Source organism: Homo sapiens, chromosome 1, assembly GCF_000001405.40.
Source record: "Homo sapiens chromosome 1, GRCh38.p14 Primary Assembly".
Classification (NCBI taxonomy): Eukaryota; Metazoa; Chordata; class Mammalia; order Primates; family Hominidae; genus Homo; species Homo sapiens.
Window position 1 is genome coordinate 143,470,627 of NC_000001.11, and position 27,057 is coordinate 143,497,683.

General features: G+C 38.3%; 2 pseudogenes; one reads left to right on the forward strand and one right to left on the reverse strand.

The window, feature by feature from the left end:
* The window catches only part of KMT2CP3 (lysine methyltransferase 2C pseudogene 3), a 37,547-nt pseudogene that overhangs the window by 9,406 nt on the left and 1,084 nt on the right, over positions 1 to 27,057 (reverse strand).
* On the forward strand, positions 17,036 to 18,572 carry NKAIN1P1 (NKAIN1 pseudogene 1; annotated as a pseudogene).

A 27,057-nucleotide genomic window follows, 5' to 3' on the forward strand; every position in this document is an offset into this window, starting at 1 on the left:
ACAGTATGGATGGTAACACTGACCACACTGAGAACAGGCAAGTAATCTTCCTTCTGCTCCTTGGCCAAAACTGCCACAAACTACACATATATCCTGAAGTTAAGAAAACAGAACATATTTTAAATGGAGACTAAGCTAAAAACCTACAAATTTTACTTTAAAAATACCTTCTTAACTAATATAGCTCTATAGCTAAATATTGGATCACTTCTGTGTATATGAGATAAAGCAGAAATGTGCAAGGAGGAATTCAATGAGGAAGACAGTAAATTGTCAAGTTCAAACCTGATTCAAAGTGAATTTGTCACTGCTAGAAAACAACACAACCATATCGAGCACAGAGTTTTCTTCATCATCCTTATTTGATGAAATATCTGCAGTAGACACCTATAAAAAGCAAAATACACAAAATACGAAGTTATATTTTTCACTTGTTTTACACTTAACTGGAAAGCTTCAGAAAATTCATAATCAAAACATATATTTTTGCTAAGGTCTAGAATAACAATTCCAAATATTAATGCTAAGATACTACAGCAAAATGGAGTCATGACATTTTATTATTCAACTCATTCTCTCTTTAGAGGTAGAATTCCTTTAGACCAAGAAGTAATGAGAAAATATAATAAACCTGTCTTAGTAAGACTTGATTATGCAGAATTCTAATCAAGAAACTATAAATGATAATATTATAGGTATGTACACCACAAATCTATCACTATTTTAATGACACACACTTGGGATCTGCAATGTAGTTAGTCTGAACTGAGATGTCCTGCAAACAGAAAATACAGCACATAATTACATATTACATGTTGAAATGGTAATATTTTAGATATATCGGTCAAAATGGAAGGCATTAAAATTAATTTCGCCTGTTCACTATACCTTTATTTTGTTTCGAGAGGAGTTTCACTCTTGTTGACCAGGCTGGAGTGTAATGGCGCGATCTCGGCTCGTTGCAACCTCTGCCTCCTGGTTCAAGCTGTTCTCCCTTACTCAGCCTCCCAAGTAGCTGGGATTACAGTTGTCCACCACCATGCCCAGCTAATTTCTGTATTTTTAGTAGAGATGGGGTTTCACCATATTGGAAAGGCTGGTCTCTTAACTCCTGACCTCAAATGATCCACTGCACCCAGCTCACTGTAACTTTTTAATGTGGCTACTAGGAAGTTTTAAATTGCATATGTGGTTCTCATTATATTTCTATTAGCACCGCTTTAGAATATTATTTTGAATAACATCCAAATTTCAGTATCAGCCAAATGATTATCAACCAATATTGTTCAGTCTGGACTTAGTTCTATTTGACTAAATCAACTAAGTAGCCACTGGTTTGTTAATAATTTCTAGAGTGATATGAAACAAAATAAAGCTCTGAACTAGAAGTTGTAGAAGAAGACAAGGAGGGCACTGCCAAAATCATAAAATACAATCCTCTTTCTTTAAAAAGCTTACAACCGAAGCCTGGAAAGACAGAGTTGAAACACAACAGGTTATGTTCAAGGTCAAAACATAAAACGACTGAATTACTTTTCTTGAGGAACAACTGAAAGATTAACCAGCTGGGTGTGGTGGCTCATGCCTATAATCTTAGCACTTTGAGAGGCTAAAGTGTGTGGATCGCTTGAGCTCAGGAGTTCGAGACCAGCCTGGGCAACATGGTGAAATCCTGTCTCTACCAAAAATACAAAAAACAGCCGAGCGTGGTGGCACACGCCTGTAGTCTCAGCTACTCAGGAGACTGAGGCAGGAGAATCACTTGAACCCAGGAGGCAGAGGTTACAGTGAGCCAAGATTACGCCACTGCACTCCAGCCTGGGTGACAGAGGGAGACCCTGTCCCAAAAAAAAAAAAAAAAAAAAAAAGAGGAAGGAAGGAAGGTTGGTTGGTTAACTAAATAGAAGGACTATATCTCAGTATTTTTCAATACAAATACATTTAAAAGCAGTTTTTTTTTGTTTGTTTTTTTGTTTGTTTGTTTTTGAGATGGAGTCTTGCTATGTCACCCAGGCTGGAGTGCAGTGGCACAATCTCAGCTCACTGCAAGCTCTGTCTTCACGGCATTCTCCTGCCTCAGCCTCCCGAGTAGCTGGGACTACAGGCGCCTGCCACCATGCCCAGCTAATTTTTTGTATTTTTAGTAGAGATGGGGTTTCACCATGTTAGCCAGGATGGTCTCGATCTCCAGTCCTCACGATCCACCCACCTTGGCCTCCCGAAGTGCTGGGATTACAGGCATGAGCCACCGTGCCCAGCCTAAAAGCAGTTTTAATGGATAGTACTAATGCTTTATAAGAGCAATTTATAGTCATATGAACCCTAATGACTACAAGTGTTAATAATGCCAATATTCATCATTAGGGAGTAAGTAAAGCCATGACAAATCCAAACATTAGAAAATTACGCAACATTTTAAAAGTAGGGAGGTAGAAACTTGTATAGACTGCCATGAAAGAAATTATCAAAAGACGTTGTTGATGAAAAAATAAATTGCAGAACAGTATTTGAGGTATAGCACTATAATATAAAAACATGCAAAGTCATTATATGTAGTCTATGGGCACATACAATAGGTTGAATCATAAGAAATTGCTGCTTTTCATCAGTTCAGAAATAATATTGGCAATTTCATATGGATCAACCTAATATATAAATATACCAAACTGGTAACAGGGAAATAAGGAGGACTTGAGGAGTTAGTAATGGTAAATTCTGATCTACCTATAACGCTTTAATTTTTTTAATAGAGAAAATGTATTGATGTGTTATATGCATAGCATTAACAAAATTAGCTTTCTAAGATTTTAGAGAATCATCCAAGATGATTCACAAAAGTAGAATCATCATCACCAGTAAGAAACTAAGTGACTACTAAAAGTAATCATTAATTCAGTCATAGGACTAATGATGCATTGACAAGGTTATTGAGATATATAATTGTGGAAATGGCTAAAATAGAGATAAAGTATCTATTTCTACCTCCCAACCACTAACAGAAAATTCAACACATTATACACACTGAGCAGCTCAAAGAAATTGTAAAGATCCATTATTATTTTTAAAAGGAAATTTAACCAGTGGATGCTTTCACTGAAAATGATAAACAATATATTCCCAGTATAAACCAGAAACAAAGTCTGCAGTAGAAAACTACAATGTCCCTAGATTCAAGTGGGGGTGGGGAGTCATATTTAAATAATAAGTGCAGAAAAACCAAAATATTTTAAAATAATTGTCCATGCAAGAAAGAAAACAGTATCATCTAGCTTGAAGACCCACTGTTTTTATTTTATAATTTATTTCATGACCTTTAGACTGCTAGAAAAATAAAACCTAACTTGAGGGCAAAGGTAATCTTTCAGAAAATATGTGCTATTGTTGCCTGCATAGATAATAGTGTGATTTATCCAGAAGGTGATAGAAATTTCATTTTCCTAGACCACAGATATAAGCCAAGGAGAATAGAAAGCTCTGACCTAAACTTCACAAGTGTCCCTTCCAAGCAGGGACACGTAAGAGTAAACAAAAAAAGAAGATCAAACTAAACTCAAAGTGAGAAGATAGGAAAAAATAAAGATGAGAATATAAATCAATAAAACAGAAAGGGGAAAGAAAATAGAGAAAAGTCCATGAAAACAAAGGCTGACTCAAGAAGATCAATAAGATTGATAAATCTCTAGCCAGACTGATCAGGAAAAAAATAAGACAAGATACAAATTATTAGTATCAAGAATGAGGAAGGTGAAATCACTACAGATTCTACAGGTATTAAAATAATAAGAAACATTATGATCAACTCCATTCCTTTAATTTGTCAAGATAGACAAAATGAACAAATTTCTTGAAAGGTGCAAATTTATGCAAGGAGAGACAGATAACCTAAATAGGTACCTATTAAAGAAATAAAATTTGTTGTTAAAAACTGTCCCACAGGCTGGGCACCAGTGGCTCATCCCATAATCCTAGCACTTTGGGAGATGGATCACCTGAGGTCAGGAGTTCGAGACCAGCCTGGCCAACATGGCGAAACCCCATCTCTACCCAAAACACAAAAATTAGCTAGGCATGTTGGTGCATGCCAGTAATCCCAGCTACTCAGAAGGCTGAGGCAGGAGAATTGCTTGAACCTGGGAGGTGGAGGCTGTAGTGAGCAGAGATCACGCCACTGCACTCCAGCCTGGGCATGGTGGCTCATGCCTGTAATCCCAACACTTTGGGAGGCCAAGGCAGGTGGATCACATGAGGTCAGGAGTTCGAGACCAGCCTGGCCAACATGGTGAAAAACTGTCTCTACTAAAAATACAAAAAAAAAAAAAAAAAAAAATTAGCCAGGCATGGTGGCAGGCACATGTAATCCCAGCTACCCAGGGGGCTGAGGCAGGGGAATCACTTGAACCTGGGAGGCAGTGGTTGCATGAGCTGAGATTGTGCCATTGCACTCCAGCCTAGGCAACAAGAGCGAAACTCCATCTCAAAAGAAAGAAAAAAAAAAAGAAAACACAACAAAAACCCCCCACAAAGAAAATTTCAGGCCAAGATGGTTTCACTAATAAATTCATGTATAATATAAGAAGATACATTTCCACTACTACACAACTTTTCCAGAAAACTGAAGATGAGAATATACTTTCTGATTCATTCTATGAAGCTGGAGTTATGCTGATACCAAAACCAGATGAAGACATTACAAGAAATTAAGACTACAGGCTGGGGCATGGTGACTCACGCCTGTAATCCCAGCATTTTGGGAAGCCAAGGTGGGAAAATTGCTTGAGCTCAGATGTTCGAGACCAGCCTGGACAACATAGTGAGATGCTGTCTCTATTAAAAATTTTAAAAAAGTAGTTGGGTGTGTTGGCACACAGCTATGGTCCCAGCTACTTGTGAGACAGAGGTGGGAGGTCAAAGCTGGAGTTAGCTATGATCGCACCACTGCACTCCAGCCAGGAATTAGAACGAGAACCTGTCTCAGAAAAAAAAAAAAAAAAAAAAGAAGAAAAAAAGTGCACAGGTCTACAACCGTGGTGCATCCACAGTTTTATTAATATTCAGCAAGAAAAGGAAGTACACTGTTAACAAGTACAACAGCATAGATTAATCTCCAAATAATTGTGCTGAAATAAATCAGTCCAAAAAGCACACAGTTCTGTATGATTCCACTTATATACAACTCTAGAAAATGCAAACTAATCTTGGGGACAAGGACGGATGGCAGGGGGAATGCAGAAAATTACAGAGGGACATGAAGAAACGTTGGGAGATGAATATATTCACTATCATGATTGTGGTATCGTTTTCAAGGGTGTATATGTATATATCAAAGCTTATGGAATTGTACATGTCAAATATAGCTTATATCAACTATACCTCAATAAGCCTGGTTTTAAAATTTTTCTTTTTGAAAAAAGGACAAGAATCTAAGCTTCCTTATTCCTGGTTTAGTAGTAAACTTGAACAATTTCACCTGTCTCCTATACTTAAAATGACATTTCAGAATTTTAAAAACAGGATTTTAATAAAATAGCGAAGTTATTACATAAAATATTTGCTAGTAGTTAACAAATATATTTGTAATACACATATAAATAAAGCCTCGTAACATGATAGTAAGCAAATATCAATCTTAAAATTTTTTAAATAAAAGAGCAACTATATTACATACTGACTTTTTAGAGAGGGTTGGCATAGAAAGATAAGGAGTCAAAGAGGAAGGTAAGAAAAGAGAAAGGATGAGAAAGTAAATATACAAGAAAACGTAACCAGAGGCTCAAAAAAAAAAAAAAAAAGCAAAGTAGGACAGTAAAATAAACATTTTGACCTATTTATATGATTTTTAAGTTCAAAATAACTTGCTATGAGATTTTCATCATTAACTGACATTTAGATTAGAGAAAATATACATGAAGCAAGCCTCACCCCAGGCAATACAACAGCTCCGATTCCACTTTTCAGCTTTGACCTGCCTCGGCCACCTCGCCCCGACAGTCCTGCACCTCGAGGTCTCCGCTTTCCTGGAAATCCAGACCCATGGCCCTATGTAACAGATTAGGAAAAGTCAACATTCTGTGACAGCCCAAAATAATTTTTAAATCCAAATGCCACTGAGATAAAACATTTTATTAAATGTTATACAAACACTTCTTTAGATAAGTATTAAGAGACCTGGCTTATTATTTTTATCTTTAAAAGTATATTCCACAACTTAAAATTCTAAATATAAAATGCTTACAACCTTAGAATCATACTTTCGGGCTGTCACTGTGAACGCTATCAGCAAGCCTTTGCATGATTTTTCTCTTTGCCACTCCTACATTCTCGGTGACGACAACAACTATAGCCTTATCCAGATATTTCGAAGTGCAACAAATTGTATTCAATATAGAGTAAGGATAAGGAAGAACTCTCTCATTAACTGGTCTCGCGGTGATTACAGTAATAGCTAACATCTATTGAGTACTTACTATGTACTAATCTAAGTATTTTTTACTCTCAACAATCCCATATAGTAGGTTTTATTATCCTCGTTTGAGATGAGTGTGCTGAGGAATAAAATGGTTAAGTAACTTGTCCAAGGTCGCTTAGCTAGCAAGCCTGGCTCCAGCGTCCCTGGGTTGGAAGCATATTCTGTACTGCTACATCAGCATGAAAGTTTATTTTTGCTAGTGTGTAACAGTATTCTTCCTGTCATTAAAATTAAGTCAGTTTCCTTCACTATTCAACAGTTCTCTTATGAACTCAACATTTCTACCTCATTCACCATTGTATTTAGAGGAAAATTTATTATTATTGTTATTACTTTTATTTTTGAGACAAGAACTTGATCCGTCACTCAGGTTGGAGTGCAGTGGTGTGATCACAGCTCACTGCAGCCTAGAACTCTTGGGCTCAAGTGATCCTCCTGCTTCTGCCTCCCAAAGTGCCAGGATTACAGGAGTAAGCCAAAGCGTCCAGCCAGGAAAAATTATTTGAGGATTACAGGAAAGCTGACAAAAGGCTTTGTGAAAGCTTTGCTTTAAATAATCTGAATAATAAATACTTGAAATGGAAATAATTTATCTGACTTCTTACACAAGAAATAAACCTATGGGAAAATGTGTTAAATTCCCTGATAATTTCAGACATTAAGTACCAGAGTATGGTGTTCCCTGCCCCCTCACCCTTGTTCGTACTAATTAATTACTCCTTGAAAAAACCTGGCACCTACCTAAGTAGATGAATTATGTGTATTTAAAATTATCCAGATGCTCAGGAAAATACTTAGGTGTTTCCCTCACCATAAGTTAAATAATATGTCATATCTTCAACTGATGTCCCTTATCATAGTTTGAAATAAACTGATTCCCTATTTAGCAGAATGGTTTCCAAGTCAAAAATTTATGATGATACTGTAAGCATAAAATAGAAACACATGAACAAAAGGAATGGGAGGAATGGCTTTTTTCCCTTTGGATGTAATAAATACAGCCAGCTCCCAGTTTCAAACTGCCACTCCTGTCTTCTCTTACCCTGCTCTCCTTGAGATCCCTTTTGAGAAGTGCATCAGCTTCTTTGCACAACAGATAGATGGGGTCAGGTTAGTTTTTTGGGTTTTTTGTTTGTTTGTTTGTTTTTGAGATGGAGTCTCGCTTCTTTGCCCAGGCTGGAGTGCAATGATGTGATCTTGGCTCACTGCAACCTCCATCTCCTGGGTTCAAGCAATTCTCCTGCCTCAGCCTCCCTAGCAGCTGGGATTACAGGCACATGCCACCACGCACGGCTAAATCTCTTTGTATTTTTAGTAGAGACGGGGTTTCACCACTTTGGCCAGGTTGGCCTCGAACTCCTGACCTCCGGTGATCTGCCCCCTCAGCCTCCCAAAGTGCTGGGATTACAGGCGTGAGCCACTGCGCCCGGCCGAGTTTGTTTTGTTATTAAGCTGGTATAAAAGATTTTTGAAAAATTAAGTCAGTGATTAAAAATCAAGACTACAGTAATCTCTCAATTTCTTTTCTCAAACATGAAATGCTGACCCAGAAAAAAGGTAAGTAAAAATTGGTGGTCTATATTATCAAACTGTCAAATGAGGTATATTTATACCTCAATATCTTGGATGATATCAGGGGGAGGTAGGGAGGTTAAAAAAAAATAGTACTTCCAGTCATGAAAGAAAATAAAGTATAATCTAGAATTCCTTAAAATCCTTGATTAGTCTGAATTAAACAGCCATATTCCAGAATATTAAATATAGAATATGAAGAAAAACTGTCATCTCCAGTCAATGAAGTATTTTAACTTTTGAGTTAATACTTTTTCAAATTAATTTTTTTCTCTTCAAAATGCATCACACTACTTAACTCACTTCAAGGACTGGCACAGCCATCAACCAATGTCATGGGGGAAAAAGCCTTGTCATTTTAAGGTATTAAACAGACAATGAAATCTGCCACAATTTTGGTATTTCTTCTCCATAAGAACATAATAAATTAATGGAGTTTTTTCTTTTGCTTTTTTCTAAGCAACAAAGTTTTATGATATCATGAATGAAAAGGTCCTTAATTACCTTTTGGTCTACATGTCAAGGACTTCTCCCTCATAAAACCGGTAGTAATCACAACAAAAGGAATTAACCATAAAAAGAGGTATTAAAAATGTATATTGATTTTTAAATGCAAGCATATTATTTCTTTACATTAAAATTTTTAGATTTAAAAAGTGTTTCTGGAAGCTCAATCTAGAAAAGAAAGATTTAATTCTTTACACCCAGTAGGGCAAAACAAATCAGACAGAAATGATATATGAATGTAAATGCAATTTTATTTACCACTTTGATGCTCCAAATGGCACTGCCAGGAAGCTGCCTGGGTTTAAAAATTTCCCGACCTCCTGAAATGTCTGGGGACCAGGAAGGTGGGCTCACTGTATTATGGGTACTCCAAGCCTCCTAGGATATGGCAGTTGAGAAAATAGATGTGTAAAACTCAGCAACATAAAAGGTCAAAGCCAGCAACTAAGGAATTTTAGAACAGCAAAAACAAATGCAAACATATGGAAATTTAGGACAAATTGCTTCAAGGAAGGCAAAATAAGCTAATCACTAACAGTGATTTAAACATTTAAGTATAACAAATAACTTAAATGATTGCTGCTACAGAGACATCACTACAATGAAACATTAAAAATTAAGGTTTATATGACATCAACATTGACTCATGAACTGCAATTACTGCACCAAAAAGTAAATAAAAGTCAATCACACTTTAAGAATTAACACTAGAAGAAAGTATTGGGGGGTTATTTTTCTTCTAACAACTATCACTCTACTTAAAAGGAGAAATGGATAACCATAAGGAATTCTATATTCTATAGCTATAAACAACCAAAACCAGTAGGCCAAAGAATGCAATGAGAAACATAAGCAATAGATAAATGCATAAACTTTACACTGTAGAGAGCTGGTAACATTAAAATGCAAATACCATTATAATCTTAGCATTTAATCACTCTTTCTTCAGTGACCATTAGTTGCCGGTTTGGTTTCGGTTTTTACTCAGGGAAATGAATACTTTATGGAAATTACATCCAATGGACAAAAGTGAAGAAACGTTAAAGCAAATTGTCCTAAATTTGCAAATTAAAATGCCTAAAGTACCTGATAAATTATATAGAAAGTAGTATCTTATTAAAATCTATATAACTAAAACTAAAACATTTTACTTCCAAACAACCACATTCAGCAATACCCTGAACTAATCTGAAGATGCTAAACAGCATAAAGAAAAATGTTTACTCCACAAAGATAACATTTTAAAGAAAAACAAGACAAATGTCAAACAATAAAAGGATATATTTTGAATTAGGTAATTCAATGGTGCATGCATAATTTTACCAATCAAGTAACCAAAACTTAAGACAAGGTACATGGTACTTACCAGGTTTCTAGAATATCATCAAATTAACAAGTACTATCTCATTAATCACATAAAAATACCACCAGGAATTAAAATAACCAGAAATAAGAATGTGACTACTCTTGGGGTAAGAGATAGGTAACGGAATAACAGTATTTTGGAAAAGCCACACAAGCAATAGACTGGTTTCATTTTTAAGTCACAAACTCAACCCACACACATTGAAGTCCAGCAATCCAACTCATTCTCTCCAGCAAACACTTTATTTTTTTCCCCCTCCAGGATTACCCTCAGGTGTTCTTTCTTACCCATCAAATCTCTAACCTAGCTCAGGTAATCACTATGCTGATTTCACTGAGCAGCAACCACTGCAGGTCAATTACCTCACTTTCATAATTTCAAATCAACTTGAATCTGTACCTATGTCTTCTTCCCTACTATTAGTAGGGAAGTGTTGTCAAAAGCCATTTCTCTTTTCTCATTTTACTCATGCTCCTAACATCTGGCATACTGTTCTGCTGGATTTGGCAGCAGCCCACCTGTGGATATTTCACTGACTTACTCGCTAATCTTTCTTCATCTCCTGTACGTGTTCTTCCTCTATTTGACTTCCAAAGCCCTGGAGTTTCCCAGGGCTTGAGCCTAGATCCTAAATGGTGTTATCTACAATGAGGGCATCTTGCAAGTTGATGCTTCCCACATTCTTATTTCTAGTTTTAATCAAAGATCTCCAAATTAGCAGGATTTTCAACTTCCTCCTTAGCATTTCCATTTTCTCACATAAAACCCCTCTTAATTTTGCCATGGTTAAAATTTCTCCCTTAACCGGTTTCATCCCAGTCTTCCCCATCCTTATAAATGGCATCCAGTCCCTTGTCACTCTCCTCTGCTCCTTCAGTCCTCTCCCCCAACACCTCGTCAATGCAAATCATCAGCAAATTCAAGACTTTTTATCTTCAAGTTTTGTCTCCGATCCTTCTGCTTCTTGTCACTTCCACCACTAGCAGCCCACTCGTGGCCACCACCATCTCTCACCTAACCTGCTACAAGAGTCTACTGCTGGTTATGCTTCTCCCACCCTGCATCTACTCAAGCCTTTCCCCACAGCAGCCAGAGGAACTTTTCAAAAGTACAAATGTGATCAAGCAAGTCACTATTCTATTTCAAATCTTCAATTGCTTCTCAGAGCACTTAAAAGACAAACCTTTCCCAGTGCCTTTCTCCAGCTCATCTTGTGGCACTTGTCTCCCTGCTGCTATGCTCCAGCTATTCTGGCTTCCTTGCTGTCCTTCAAACATGCCAAGCTCTTTATCAATCAGAGCCCAACTGACTCAGAACACTTCACTATACCATTCCAGCCCTTCAATAAATGTCTGGCATTTTCTTTCTTTCTTTTTTTTTGAGATGGAGTCTCGCTCTGTCACCCAGGCTAGAGTGCGGTGGTGCGATCTCGGCTCACTGCAACCTCTACCTCCCAGGTTCAAGCAATTCTCTTGCCTCAAGCCTCCTGAGTAGCTGGGATTACAGGCATGCACCACCACGTCCGGCTAATTTTTGTATTTTTAGTAGAGAAAGGTTGTCTCCAAGTTGCTCAGGCTGGTCTCCAACTCCCGACCTCAAGTGATCTGCCCACCTTAGCCTCCCAAAGTGCTGGGATTACAGGTGTGAACCACTGCGCTGGGCCAATATTATTTTTTTAAGAAAATACTAATAAAAAGGAACAATTGATATTAAATAAAATTTAACTATTGACTATAAATATATGTTTCAAGAGATTTGAGTGAAAATACCATTCTACGTTAAAATAAAAAATATAACATTCGATAACTATAGTAATAACATGTTCTCAAAGATTCAAGGGGCTAAAGCTAATGAGAAAAAGTTAAATATAAACATCTTACAATTTACCTAATTACTTGAAATAGAAACTTATGTTTATTCCTGTATTTCTCCATTTTTCCAATTTCTAATGTCTACTTCTTTCCATTTTGTATTTTCTTATATTGAGGCAATTTAAAGAGGATATGCCAGGTCTTCAGAAAGCCAAGAACTGAACATAAGCACTCTGGAACCTATCTGAACTTAATTTTGTCCAAGATTTTTTTAATGGTTGAAAATTGGCTCAACTGGGGATACTAAGAGGAAATATCAGGGGCAAAGGGGATTTGGGTTAAACAGATCGAACAGGATTCTTACTGAAGGCAGGCCAGACTGATCAGAAATCATCTGGAGGGTGGTGGGAGATAACAAATTTGATCAGATATCAAAGGTGATCAGTACTGAGAGTGGGGGATTCTTTGCAAGTTTCTTCCTAAACCTGAGAGATGTGGGTCAGACTAGGATGAACACTGAAAGCTGAGGCTGAGAGGTGGCTTAGAGGATCCCAACTAGAGTTTGGGCAAGGGGAGAGGCTTTGTCAATGCAAACATGCATTCAGCAATATTACCAAGTACAGATGCATGCACATAAAAATACTGAAAGGAAATATAAGAAAATGTTTAAAAATTTTTAGTGGCTTATTTATTTTATGTAATTTAAATATATATATATATAAAATTAAGGTGTACTTTGAACACATACTAACACATTCAAAGAATTAAGTATACATTTGATAATACATAATAGTTACAAAATAAGCAAGGTCTTCATGCAAACGAGTTTAGAATTTCCAGGGTTTATTACTTAGCATTTGATCAGCAGGCCTGTAACTTCTTCTGCTGCCCATTCATTGCCCATTTTATTAAAAATTCCTCAAGTGGATGCATTGGAATGGAAGAAACACTGACTCTTTCCTTCAAAGAAGGAAACAACAAACCTTGTTTGACAACCCTGGTCAAACAAGACAAGGACCAAGTGGCCAGTGGTAAGGAAAGTTGGTCAAAACTAATGAATGACATTTTAGATTAAAAGTGAATTTTATTTAACCCAATTATTCTTATCCTATGCACACAAATTTGAATTTAAGTTAGCTTGATGTAGATGGTCACCCCATTCCAAAGCATGAGTCCAAATACCCTAAGGTTCCAGAAGGAGCCAGCTTTCTTCAGAAGGTGGCAAGCGCATTGCAAAGTACTGAGGAAAACTTTCTTTAAAGTATCTTTTTTCATCATTCCATATTTTGCTCCTTATAATTGCAACTGCTCTCCTTATATGTCTCTTTTGAAACTTCTCACTTGTCTAAGGTGCTATTGTTCCTCCTCATCTTTTTTTTTTTTTTTTTAATAGCATAGTCTCTCTCCCTCCTTGCCATGCTGAAAAGGCTTCTGACTTGCTGTTCTTGCCAGGAAATATTTCTGCAGGGCGTATTGGAGTGGAACTACTTACAGAGTGTCAGGGCAAGTCCTTACATTTGTTTATGCTTAGGACACAACACAGAAGATAATTTTCTAAGTTAAAGATTGTATGATTTTATCTTGACTTCAGAAACTGGTCATACTTTTTTACTTTAGTTTCTAAGAACCTCAGAGCTGAACTTGAAACAACTTTAATAATTCCAATGAGACATTTGTTATTTATCCTTTTTAAAAAAGACTTTTCTAATTTAAATAATTTTATTATTGCTCTAAATTTGCCAGGTTCATTTAAGAATTTTATAAACTGTTTTAAAACTAATTTACATTAAGTTGGAATAAAGTTAACCAAATTAATACAAACATATTTTATTGCACTTCTCTTTATTGTGCTTCACAGATAGGAACATTTTTTCTTTATTTACAAATGAGATGTTTGTGACAACCCTGGTGAAGCAAGTCTATTGGTGCCATTTAACAAACAGCCTGTGCTCACTTTGTGTCTTGGTTTCACACTTTGTTAATCTTCACAATTTTTAAAATATTTCCTTATTATTATATTCGTTACGGTGATCTGTGATCAGTGATCATTAATGTTATGGGAGGCAGAGTTTGCAGTGAGCAAAGATCATGCCAGTGCACTCCAACCTGGGCAACAGAGTGAGACTCCATCTCAAAAAAAAAAAAAAGGAGTTTTTATATGTAGGGTACAAAATACTATCTGACCTTAGGGTGTGTGCAAATTTTTCTGAATTAATTAAGACTTAAATACCAACAGGAGTGATTGTTTTTGTTACAATCACCAGGTGGGTGATCTGATACTTTCCCCTGAAAAATGCATATACAAAATTTTCACATAATTTAAAAACATCCACAGATGCATAGCTATGGATTCAGTTTATGGATCAAGAATTCAACTCCTCAGAAGTAAAAGATTACATGAGAAAGTATCTGATATTGAGGTGACAAGGAATAATGTTGAAATGTATCTCATTAAAAAGTGCAGACAGTTGTGGCTAAGACATTGGGTATTACAGAGGTGCATCCATGTGTCCAGTGAGAAGACTTTAAGAATCTGTTTGGGAATAATGAGAACATGAGCATTCTCCTCCCTACCTCTAGCACTCCCCTCCTGCTATTTGGGTATTGTGAATTTACCAAACACAGTGATTTAGGTCACTTTTATTATTTCAGAAATTCCAGATACCTTACTACTTATATAAAATAGCCCTTGAAAGGATGCTTACCATTAAATAATGTATAATACAAAGAAAAGACAAATGTATGTGATCTGTAGTGCACAGTTATAATACAATCTGAATACTACATTTAAATTTTTCACTCCACTTTCCAAGAAATAAAGCATTGATTCTAAATATATTATCTATTTGTCAAAACAAATAGAAACTATCTAGTGTTTCATTTATAAAAGAAATTAATTAATGGTGTCTCTAAGTTAATTTTTTACTTCTTTTCCCCATATCATTTTTATATTATATGAGAGCATATTTTTCTACTCTACCCTAGAATTAATAAACGAAAAATAAGGTATGATAAGAAAACTTCAAATATAAACATAACCAAACTAAAATAACACCTTTTTTCTTCTATTTACTTTATTTCTTGAACTCAGTGATGTAATATGTCTTCATCTGCCTCTGAGAATACACTTAAAACTACAGAAGTAAATTAACATTTTCCCAATTCACATGTAGTGCAATATTTAAGATTTCATCTAATTGAACACGTGTTGGATCAAATTTATAATACTAAAAGCACTCTTCTACATACTGCAATGTCTAGATGGAAGACAAGCTAGTCAGGTGGCAGAGTGAACATCATTCTGGTAGGCCTTTTCAAGCTGTCACTTGCAAGATGTTTGGACTGCTGAGAATGTTAGCCATAATTAATTGCAGAGATAGGAGGCTGCAAATGGGTGAGGTAATGTTCAAATGCATGGAATGATGACTAGTCATAGTAAAAGATAATAGATGTGGCCACATTGCTTTGAGAAAATTTAGAGAATATTTTGGGTCACAATGATACATTTCTGCATTATTTGTGGAATGTTTTCAATGTAATTACATCACACAGGTAGACTTCCAGATCCTGTGTCTAACTTACTTTCCTTGGCTCTGTGGGAGAACACATATTCTAATGAAGTTCATTTTAAGGCAAATATTTCTTGAAAATACAAAACTGATAGATATATGTATGCAGGTTTCCTTCTTATACGTCTTTTATAAACAATGAAGTTGTATTTCTCCTTTAGTGTTTAATGTGTTTCATCAGATAATGCCCTAGAAGTTTTATCAAATTTTTCTGTCTACCATTTGAAGATGTATGAGAGGGAAAAAATGCAGTCTGCCTGCTTCACTAACAAAAGTAGGACAAAGGCCATCACAACTGAAATATGTGAAACACTTGGTTTTATGAATTTCAAGCATTTTATATCTCTACATTTGGACTCGAGTAAAGACATTTCATAGAAAAACTGAAATATTTTTATTTGTTTATTTTTTAATCTTGATAACCTGCAATAGTTTACAGCCAGAATGGCAGCTTTTATGTATGTACACTCATTTAAATACAGTTTCATACCGTAAATAGCCATGGGGCAAAATATCTGCCTCTAGGCACAAAAAAAAAAAATCTTTGCCGCTAAATAAACACCTTTAAGTGATACTGCAAAGAATAGATATGAGGTAATTTTTTACCTAAATGACTCTGGCCTGTATTAAGACATATTCACTGTAACAATTCAAGTTTTAAAATCCTTGTTTTGTAACTCAAAAATATATCTTTTTTACAAAACACATCTTTACATTTATTGCTATTGTACATTTATTTGGCAGGAAACAGGGATGTTTGATGTCTTGCAATGATAAAGCGATCGTATTCAATAGAAAATTGTCTCACATTCTGCAAGACTTTTGAACATTCTATAAGACAATTACATAAGTGAAAAACAAATTTGTAGATATTTGAGTACAACCATTTAATATATGAATAAAAGCAGTTCAGAACATTTTAATGTACACTGCATTTTCTGATAGTAAGATTTTAGGTTAAAATAAGATTATACTTCAAAAAGTGTACCATTTTGAAAAAAAAATCATATCACTGCTGGCAATGCCATTTTCATACTAGTCCAACATATTGCTTATCCATCTGTGTTTGTTTGATTTTACTGTTATTACTTTATGATAATGCTAAAGTACATACATACACACACACACACACACCTAAGGTGTGCAGGCTTTCATCCAAGCTTACTGGTATTAATTAAAAATCAACCAGAGGTAGGGAAAAATAAAACTTATTCAAAAATACTATTGCAATAGGGAGAATATTCCAAACTCAATCTACAGGTGTCTCAGGATCAAACAGGAAAAGGCTTTCCTTTTCTAGGGAAGGACAAGCAGGGCTGGCAGAAGCCTCCTTGGAGAGAAGAACAGGCAGTGGGGTGAGCAGGTGGCAAAACCAGGATGCTCCAATAAAAATAGTTTCTCTGGGAGTCCCGCTCATTTTTGGAGTGAGCTGTTAGCGGGCTGGTCTGTCCTTTAGTGCTTGTTCAGTCTTAGGTGGTGAGCCAAGGTCCAGGGGCCTGAGGAGAGGAGACAAGACTGTCTGAAGTTTGATAAAATCAAGTCAATGGGTAGTTATGAGTAATTGTGAGCAATTGGTCAGCTTTGGGCTCAGCACACACCCCACCTTATGTTGTTTACCACAAACAAAACTTGTCCCTAAAAATTTTTAGGAATGGCATCAGATATAGCGAAGGTTTGCAAACTGATTTTCAGGGTTGGGCTGGTCTTCATGTGTTTGTTAACCTTGAGGACTAGGTATATCATTTGTTAAGTGTGTTATTGGACTGACAGCTGCTCTCTATGAAAAGTAGAATAATCATTGAATATAATAAAAAGAATAATTATTGAAGGTTGGATAAAGAGGTCCGCGGAGCGATGGGCGAGTACGCGGGTGCCACACGCTCCTCGCCTTCTGCTGCCTGCAACTGGTGGCAGCGCTGGAGCAGCAGATCTTTGACTTCCAGGGCCGCCTACCAGTGAGCTCCCACCCTAGCCAATTTCCTGCGCCTCGTGGCGCTCACCCTGGGCATCGTGGGCACCGCAGTGTGGCTGACGCTCCGGGCTGGCCTGAGTGCGTTTATCACCTGCTTCTACCCGAAGGCTGGACCCAATATCCCCAGACCGCGACTTCCCCACAGCGTCCAAATGCCCCTGTACCGATCCAGGGATGGAGAATCGCCGGGCAGCGGGCGACTCCGGTTCTGAGCTTCCCCTGGCCATGGGGGGCTGCCGTGCAGTCTTGTCCCTGGCTGCCTGCTGCACTGTCCCTGCAAAGAAGCCCTCAGCAGCGCCCGCAGATCCTCCTGGCGCTGCTCCGCTTCCTGTTCGCCAGCTATGGGAGCAAAGTCTTCCTGAAGGAGGAGGCAGCTTTGACTTCATCAGCGGCTTCCACTCCTAGGGATGCCAGGCGCCCCAGAAGACGTCACGTTGACACCAGCAGCCTCTATGCGCTTCGGGTAGCCCTGCCCCGCCTGCCCTGGCCCTGTGCCCTTGGCGCTGGACTGACCTCGGCAGCCGCGATCTTGGTCAGGACCAGCAGGCACAGCCCTGGGGGCTCGGGACCCACTGCAGCCTGTGAAGGCCCCATGGCTCTGCACACAGAGAGGCGGAGCAGCAGACTTTGGGACTTGGCCCCTCACAACCAGGACTTCAGAGAGGATTGGGGCGGGTAAGGGAGGGGCCACGGAGTCCGCATTTTAAAAAAATTCAGACTTAGTGTGAGCTGGAGCTTTTCTCCCTTCTCCAGCCTCTTCCTTTCACCCTTCACCCAGCATCCCGCCCCTGTCCAGAGAGAAACAGCAGGAGGGCTTGCCCTTTCTATCTCACCGCACTCACTCCCCAGCCTGAGGAAAGCCGGGGGAACTAGGGGCAGGAGTTCTGGTTTCTCATCTCAGGTCCATCAGACTCTGGGTGACAGCTAGCAGAGCCCTAGCCCTCTCGGTGCCTCAGTTTCCCCACCTTGCCATTAAGAGTCCCTTGGTAGGTGAGCTCTTCTAGCCTTCTCATATAACTCTGAATTCTGTGGGCTGGGGTGGGATTATAAATCCCATTTTGCAGATGTAGAAACTGAGGCCAAGAGAAATGAAATGGTTTGAGGCCACACTGCTAGATTTTGGTGGAAGCAGGCCTTGAACGCAGCGGACTTTCTGTAGTTTCAGCCTCTAAAACCCAGTGTCCTCTCTGAGTTCCATTTTCAGGCCCCTCACTACATTCACACATCACTGCTTGCCAAGACCTCTCCTCAACCACCATCTTATCAAAGGTGACAAGAGTCACCTTTGCTCCAGTTCCCAGCAAGTTCCTCATCTCCATCAGAGACTGCCTCAGCATGGATTTCATTGTCCATATCATTATCAGCATTTTGGTCAAAGCCATTCAACAAGTCTCTTGGAATTTCAAACTTTCCCACATTTTCCTGTCTTCTGAGACCTGCAAATTGTTCAACCTCTGCCAGTTACCCAGCTCCAAAGTAGCTGGGATTACAGGCACACACCACCACACCCGGCTGATTTTTGTATTTTTAGTTTCATCATGTTGGCCAGGCTGATCTTGAACTCTCGACCTCAGGTGATCCTCCCCCCTTGGCCTCTCAAAGTGCTGGGATTACAGGTGTGAGCCATTGCGCCTGGCTGCTGCTCCTTTTTTTTTTGTGATGGACCTGGGAGATCTTTAGGAATGAGGGAAATGATCCTTTCTTTGAATAAGGCAGAATACTAAAGACTAGCCAGCCCTCAGGCTCATGGTGGTTGCTGCTATTCTGTTGAATGTGAACCATAGCCTTTAGAAAGGAGCAAGTCTTTGTGGAATACACAGGATTTGAAGTGCAACAAAGGGGTGGAAACCCAGCTGACCATGATACCTTCAAGTGAGTTTTTCCACTGAATTTGATTATTTTCCCATTTGGCACTTCTTTCTGGGTTTTTTAAGCAGCCCAAAAACTCTAGGTGATTTTACTTTTGTAATTGTATTCTCTTGGGAATGCTCATTCCTGATTCCTCGTTTCACCAAATAGGTGTGGAACCTACTTGTTTCTGCCTATAATAATTCTGGAGTCTTTAAACAAAACGACTGTGACTTTTCATGATGAGTAGAAGATAGATTTTACTCATGCTACAATCAATATTAATTCCTTGCAGTTCAAAGACACTGAGGCCTTGTCTAATAATATAGAAGTTGAACTTGGACTTGGGAGATGACTCCTGCCTCTCGTCCTCTCTGTGGCTCTGCTTTCTATTATTTTACTCATAAGCTTGTTTTGTCTCCTTGCTGAGAATTGTCAAACATGAAATGTAATTTCAGGCTATAGTGAAGAAAGATGACGTAGGCAGAAGAAATTGGCAATCATTTGGCCTGTACATGTTGCTTTTTGTTTTTTTTTCTGGACTTAGGATATAGACCACACCTTGACATTTCTGGCCTTTGAGTCTTTCACAACTGTGATTATAATACATTAGCTCTTCTAGAAGTTAGAAGTGACTTTGGATTAAGTCTTTCATAAGGTGGCTAAATGAATTTATATGGCTCATCACAATTCACTAGATTGGTTAAGCAGGAAGTTTACAGAGATTTTTTTCTTTGCTGTAAATGTTTTTCTAAATTGAAAAACTTCTATTACTGTCTTCTGGAGTACTAGAAATAAGTGCAAGTGATTGTTTTTGGCAGGAGGCCACATAAACATTTCTGCTTCTCTGTGCCTTATGGGTAGCATTGATATAAATTGTTAAAAATAATGATTGTAGATAGATAATGTATCAGAATTTGGGCTCACCTGCGGTAGCTGCTGTTGACCCAGAGGGACCACTGGGATCCTCACATCTCAGGGCAGCACATCGTTTGCAGCAATGGTTGGTTCTACGCAACCTTTTATGAAATTAGGTGAGGCCCTTGCTTAGAATTTTTTAAAAGATTAATATGAGTTTATATCTCTTTAAATATCAGTTTCTAATATTTTTTTAAAGGCCTATGTTTACAACAAATTTAGGAGATACCTTTATGCACTACTAACTAGTGTTCTTTTGTGGTGCTTTAGAAATTCTGGCTTACTTGTATTTTTGCTGGCCTTCTAATGATTTCACTCATCAATCAGAAGATATTTGTGTCCACCTCCCTGCTTCCTCTCCGGTGATCTTGTCTATTCTTGGCCATTTTAGAGTTGACTTAGCAGCCTTCACAAAACTGATTGGAATTTCCACTGGGATTAAATTGATAGGTCATTTTTGGGAGACCTTTGCAATATTGAACTTTCCAATCCATGAACTTTACTTATCTGCCCATTTATTATGTTTGTTTTTGGTAGATTACAAAATTATATGATCACTCCAAAAATTACCTTGCCCTTTATAGTAAAACCTTCCATTGTAAACTTCTGGCAATAACTGATCTGTGTTCCTCTGGCATTGCTTTTTTTTCAGAATTTTATACAAATGGAATCGTTCAGGATGTAGCCTTTTGAGTCTGGCTACTTTCATATACTGTATCAACAGTTATTCCTTTTAATTGCCAAATAGTAATCCATTGTATAAATACTACATGGTTTGCTTATTGGTTTGTCATTGGAGGAATATGGACTATTTTCACTTTTTGATAAATTATAAGTGGATTGGAATTCACAAAGTGCTTTTTGTCTGAGCATAGGTTTTCATTTCACTTGTGCAAATGCCTAAGGGTAGGATTGCCGAGTCACATGGTCCATGTACGTTTGACTTTATCAGAACCTGCCAAATTGTCTTCCAAAGTGCTGTGCCACTTCTGTTTCTTTAATAAATACAGGGGTATTCAAGCTGTCTGTTTCTTCTTGAGTTTCGGTAGTCTGTCTTTCAAGGAATTGATCTATTTCACCTAATTTGTAGAATTTAGAAGCATATAGTTGTTTGTTTTGTTTTTGTAGTGTCCATTCTAGCCTTCTAGTGTCTACAGGATTTGTAATAATATTCCTTTCATTTCTGGTATTGGCAATTTGTGTTTTCTCTTCTTCCTTTGTCAGTCTGCTAGAGGCTTCCTCATTTGATTGACTTCCACCTCCCACCGCCCTTGCAAAGAACCAACTTTGGATTTCGTTGAATTTTTTTCCTTTACTGTTTTTGTTTAAATATTACTGATTTAGTCTGTTTTTCTTATGCCTGATTTGAGTTTATTTGGTTCTTTTTTTACTTAAAGTAAATGCTTACATTATTGATTTGATGCTTCATTTCTCATAATTTAGTGCCATAAATTGCCCTGTAAGCACATATTTTGATAAGATGATGTCATATTTATTAAGTTCAAACTGTTTTCCAATTTGTCTTAAGATACTCTCTTTGACCTATGGGCCATTTAGAAGTATGCCATTTAACTTCTCATATTTGGGGATGTTCTAGAAATGTTCTAGATTCCTAGTTTAATTCTGTCATCAGAGAAAATAATTCACTGAATTTTAATTGTTTAACTTTAGGGTTTGTTTTATGACCCAGAATATGATCTCTCACCACCACCATCCAGATAATTCTTCAGGTTTTGACGTTTCCCAACCTGTCTGCTGGTTACTTTTCAGAGTACTTGGGTCATTGCTATTTATATTTTGTCCAGAGTTTCAAATTGTGATCAGTGGAAATGACAGGCCGTAGCATGCATACGCCATCCTGGCCAGCATCACAGGCGGTCAGCATATCTTTCTGTTGTTGTTTTGAGACAGGGTCTCACTCTGTTGCCCAGGCTGGAGCACAGTGGCATGATCAGGGATCACTGCATTCTCAACCTGCTAGGCTCAAGTGATCCTCCCACCTCAGCCTCCCGAATAGCTGGGTCTATAGGTGTGCTGCCATGCCCAGCTAATTTTTGTATTTTTTATAAAGACGTGATTTTGCCTTGTTGCCCAGGCTGGTCTCAAACTCCTGAGCTCAGGCCATCCTCTCACTCGGGCCTCCCAAAATACTAGGATTATAGGCATGACCACCACACCTGGCCAGTACATCTTAAAAATAATTGCTGATCCACGTTGAATAATGATGGCCTGTAAATATTTTCTCTTGCACTTGCCTTGTTGGGTTTTGATATCAAGGTTATTTTTATTTTAACCTTGTAAAATGAACTCGGGAGTCTTCTTTTTTTATTCTCTGTGTTGGTGGCAGAGTTTTTTTTGTTGTTGTTGTTTGGTTGGTTGGTTTGTTTCTCTTGTATGTTTCATGGAACTTTTTGGTGAAGGCACTTGGGCCTGGAAATTTCTTTATGGGAAGTTTTTTCATTACTGATTCAATATATTTAATCTATGTAAGTTTTTTTTCTACTTTTTGAGTCAATTTTGATTTTTTTTCCTAGAAATTCATATCTCACCAAGTATGGTGGCTTATGCTTGTAATCCCAGCACTTTGGGAGGCTCAGGTGGGAGGACCACTTGACTACAGTAGTTCAAGACCAGCCTGGGCAATATAGTGAGACTCCATCTCTACAAAAAAAATAAAAATTAGCTTGGTGTGGTGGTGGGTGCCTGTAGTGTGAGCTACTTGGGATGCTGAGGTGGGAGGATCATTTGAGCCTGGAAGGTCGAGACTGCAGTGAGCTGTGATTGTGCCTTCTTCCTTCCCCCTCCTCCTCCTTTTTACTTTTCTTCCTCTTCCTTTCTCTTCTTCTTTCTCTCCTTCATTATCCCTTTCGCTGTTTCTCTTTCTCCCTTTCTCTTTTTTCTTTTCTTTCAATTTTCTCAATTACTAAGAGATGTTTAAGTACCCTTAGCGTGTTAGTAGATACGGTTATTTCTCCCTTTAGTTCTCTTTTGAGATTTATAGTCACTCAAATAAAGAGATAACCCAAACATAAGCGTCACAAACAGGCTTTCATGCCATTCTTAATTTGGTCCTGTAATTCTTCATTGCTGTATTAATTTTCTGATGCTTTTAAGGATGTTTTATAACAAATTGTGTAGCTTTTTCCAATGGAATGTTTATTCTGAATTATCTAATTCATATTGTAAGTATAGAGGGAGTTTAATATAAAATTATTAAACTAATATTTGTGAAAGAATGTATTTGTGCATTTAACAAATATGTTAATCCTCAGACTGTTATTGGGCAGCTGAGCATACAGGAATAAAAATAACACAATTTTTATGTGTACAATATTTATGGAATACGTTACTGGACCCAATAAATAATTTAGTTAATAACATGACAAAGAACAGAAATTGTATACACCATAGAGCATAGTAATGGAATAATGAATGATTAAAGTTATTAATATTAGGTAGAAAGTGAAGGGTATCTTTGAGAGCAGAATTCAAGGAAGCAAGCAATTCGCCTTATCAGGAAAGAGTTACCTGTGGATAAAGGAGAAACTGAAAAATTTACAAGTCAAGACTTTTTGAGCAAAAACAAAAATATGACTATTAGTCACCAATTCAGTACAGTGAAAAAAATGTTGAAGAGATATCTTGGAAGTAAACCATGTTGTGGAAGAGCATGTAGGGTTTTGATAATCATGGGATGATTCTGAATTAATTTTAAATGCGATAGGAATATATGAGATAATTTCACCAGAGAATAAAATGATTGTGTTTGCATTTCAAAGGGGTGTATCTGGTGCACTGTGTAGAATAAATAGGTTATGTGAGCAAATAAATTGGGAGGCTACTCTAATCCAGTGAAAAAAGGTAGTGACTTAGGTGAGAATGCTGTCAGCATGAGTGGTAGTAGTGGTGAGAAGTCGTTAGGCCATGGATGTATTTCATAGGACTGGCCAAGAGAACTGCAGCTAAATTGGAGTGTAGGGAGTGAAATAGAGAACTCAAAGATGACTCTCAGCAATGGAAGGTGACAGCTGTCACTGAAGCATGCTGATGCCTCTTATTAAGAGAGTTACTTGGGAATGGCAAGATCAAAACTTCTCACTTTCAAATTTATGAAAAATATTGTTTTCAGAACGAGTGACTTTGGGATCAGAAAGCCACCATTCTAATTGATGGTTCCACGACTACACGGGCTCACAGTCGCAAGAGCAAAAGTAAATCATCACAAAGGTGCTTCTTGATAATTCTAGAGAATGGAGAATTACTGTAACATCTTTCTGATTTTAGGAGAGGTAGCAGTTCCCTTTTTAGCCTAAACGCTATTTCTTTTTAAAGCTCAGCCAAGAGACTCCATTATAATTTTCAAATGTGTGTAACTTAAATTCTCATATGAAATACCACTATGCTTAAATTAGTCAAAACATTTTCCCCATCTACAACTCTATCTTGTCATTGTAATCATGTTCACAAAAGTGACTGCAGCTCTCAGACCCTAAAAAGAGAAAATCCAGGGTAGTTTATCTGATCTAGTTAGTTTCGAAGACAGGATCTAGAGATTATTTAATATGAAATGGGTCACCTGAAATGAAGTGTTTACTGAAAACAGCTTGGATCAGCCCAGTTTTCTACCACTGAACCATGCATTTGGTTTAAAAAACACAACAACTCTGCGGAATATCGGCTGTTTCCAACTGTGTTGAAGGTGTTAAAGAAAAGAGCATAAAATTAAAAATGATCATCTGAGGCCTTTATAGTCTCTGCTCAAGAGACTAGAGTTTTCCATTCTTAACGAAACACCCAAATATCTTAATAATTGGGCAAAATCTAAATATCAGAGATAATTTTATCTTGAAGATTGTTAAATTATAACGGTGATTCACTAGCTTGCCACGTCTCTGAGTCAAAAATTAGGTCTTTGTTTAGGAATCAATCATAATCTGCAATTTGGAAATAGGAAGATTTTAGAAGACTCAGACATTGACTTTCTTGTGTGCAAAAAAAAAGACGTATTGAGATAAGACAAGTCTTTCCTTGCAAGGATACCTCTAATGCTCATACACCACCTCCCCTAACATTAATAGAGCTTCCAGGTCACTAACCAGTGTCAGAGAGCAGCCCACACAACCAGAAATTCAAAAGATGTCGAACATAGGGTCAAGCTTAGAATAAGACGTCTTAGCTAATTAAGTATGCTTTTATCCCGAAATTCATATTAACAAAATCTTGGATATGTCAGAGAATGCATTCTAAGTTCACTCAACCTAGGAGGGAGAAACATAATTTTAAATTAAGAGCTGAAGCATTCTTGTCCTAACACAAAGCAAGGAAAACGAAATATCACACCACAGGAGGGATTTCACAAATTTGCGTCAACATCAAAACCTTAAAATAGGCAAGGAGAATGCAGATTCACAATGAACTCTTGTACTTGTTTTGTTCAGAGAAGAGACGGTTCTGAGAGAATGACAGTGAACTAACCCCAGCTGGGTTTAGTTGGTGCTTTCAACTGCTGCTTCTGATCAACTCCTTTAGCTAGAATAAATTGATGAGGATTTTGGCCTGTGGTATTAGAGATGGTTATTAATTTTTTCCTCTTATTTGCATTGTTCAATATAGTAAATACTAGCTGTATATGGCTACTTCAATTCAAATTAATTACAATGAAATATACTTAAATATTGAATTTCTTAGTCACTCTTGGTTCATTATTGAATATCTTCAGCTAAGATTTCCCAACTAAAGACACTAAGAGGTGGCTTAGTTAACCGGTCATCCACAAATATTGAAGCTGCTGTTAACTCCTGATATATTCTCTGCAAGGAGAATACTCATAAGCCTCCTCCTGAAATCAGCAGCCTAGAGATAGTTTTATAAACTGGATACAAGTTGGAAATCTATATACTCTTTAAGTGTTTGAAATATTAGCTTTCCAGGGAAGAAAATCAAATTCATAAGATATGCTAGGACAATTTAACTCAAGATGTTCAAAACTGAAATGACATATTCTACAACATGTGATAAAACCACCCCCTAACAACTTAAAGCAAAACAGGGGTGGACCTTAAAGACCTGCCTTTTCCTCATCCCCCAGCCAATCAGTTTTCAAATCTTGCATTTTATTTTGAAAGGTCCCTATCCCCCTGGTCTCTTGTTTCTAGACTTGGCACATATTTAAGTTTGTTACCTCTCTCTACTGACTTTTCTCTCTTCAAACAGTATCTATGCCTGCCAAATGTGAACGTACAAGAAACAAATCAGAATGTGCCATTCTGATTTAAACTGCTTATTAGTTAATACCCTCAAGATAACATCTGGGTTCTTAGCTTCAATGAGTCAAGCCTACTTACATCTTTTTGTCTTTGGCTGCACATTTCCTATCACATCGCACTCCAGCAATGCCAAGCTGTGCCGGCCTTCCACTCCATCTCCATTATTTCGCCCTCCGCCGCCACCGCCGCGGCTTTTTCCCGCCCCCCCGCCGCCGCGGCTTATTCCCCCCACCCCGCCTAGGCTTTTTGCCCGCCGCTGCTTTGTGCCCCCCGGCGCCAGGGCTTTTAGCCCGCCGCGGCTTTTTGACCCCTCGCCGCTGCGAATTTTGCCGCCGCGGCTTTTTGTCCCCCGCTGCTGCGGCATTTTGCCCCCCTCCGCTTTTTGCCCCCCCGCCGCCGTGGCTTTTTCCCCCCTGCCCCCACGGCTTTTTACCCGCCTCGGCTTTTTACCCCCAGCCGCCTCGGCTTTTAGACCCCACCCCGCCTCGGGTTTTTGCCCGCCGGGGCTTTGTGCCCCTCGCCGCCGCGGCTTTTTGCCCGCCGTGGCTTCCCCACCCCCCGCCGCGGCTTTTTGTCCCCCTGCGCCACGGCTTTTTGCCCGCCGCGCCTTTTTCTCCCCGCCGCCGCGACTTTTTGCCCGCAGCGACTTTTTACCCCCGCCGCCGTGGCTTTTTGCCCCATCGCCGCTGCGGCTTTCTGCCCCCACCCGCCGCTGCGGCTTTTTGCGCCCCCGCCGCCCCGGCGCCAGGGCTTTTAGTCCGC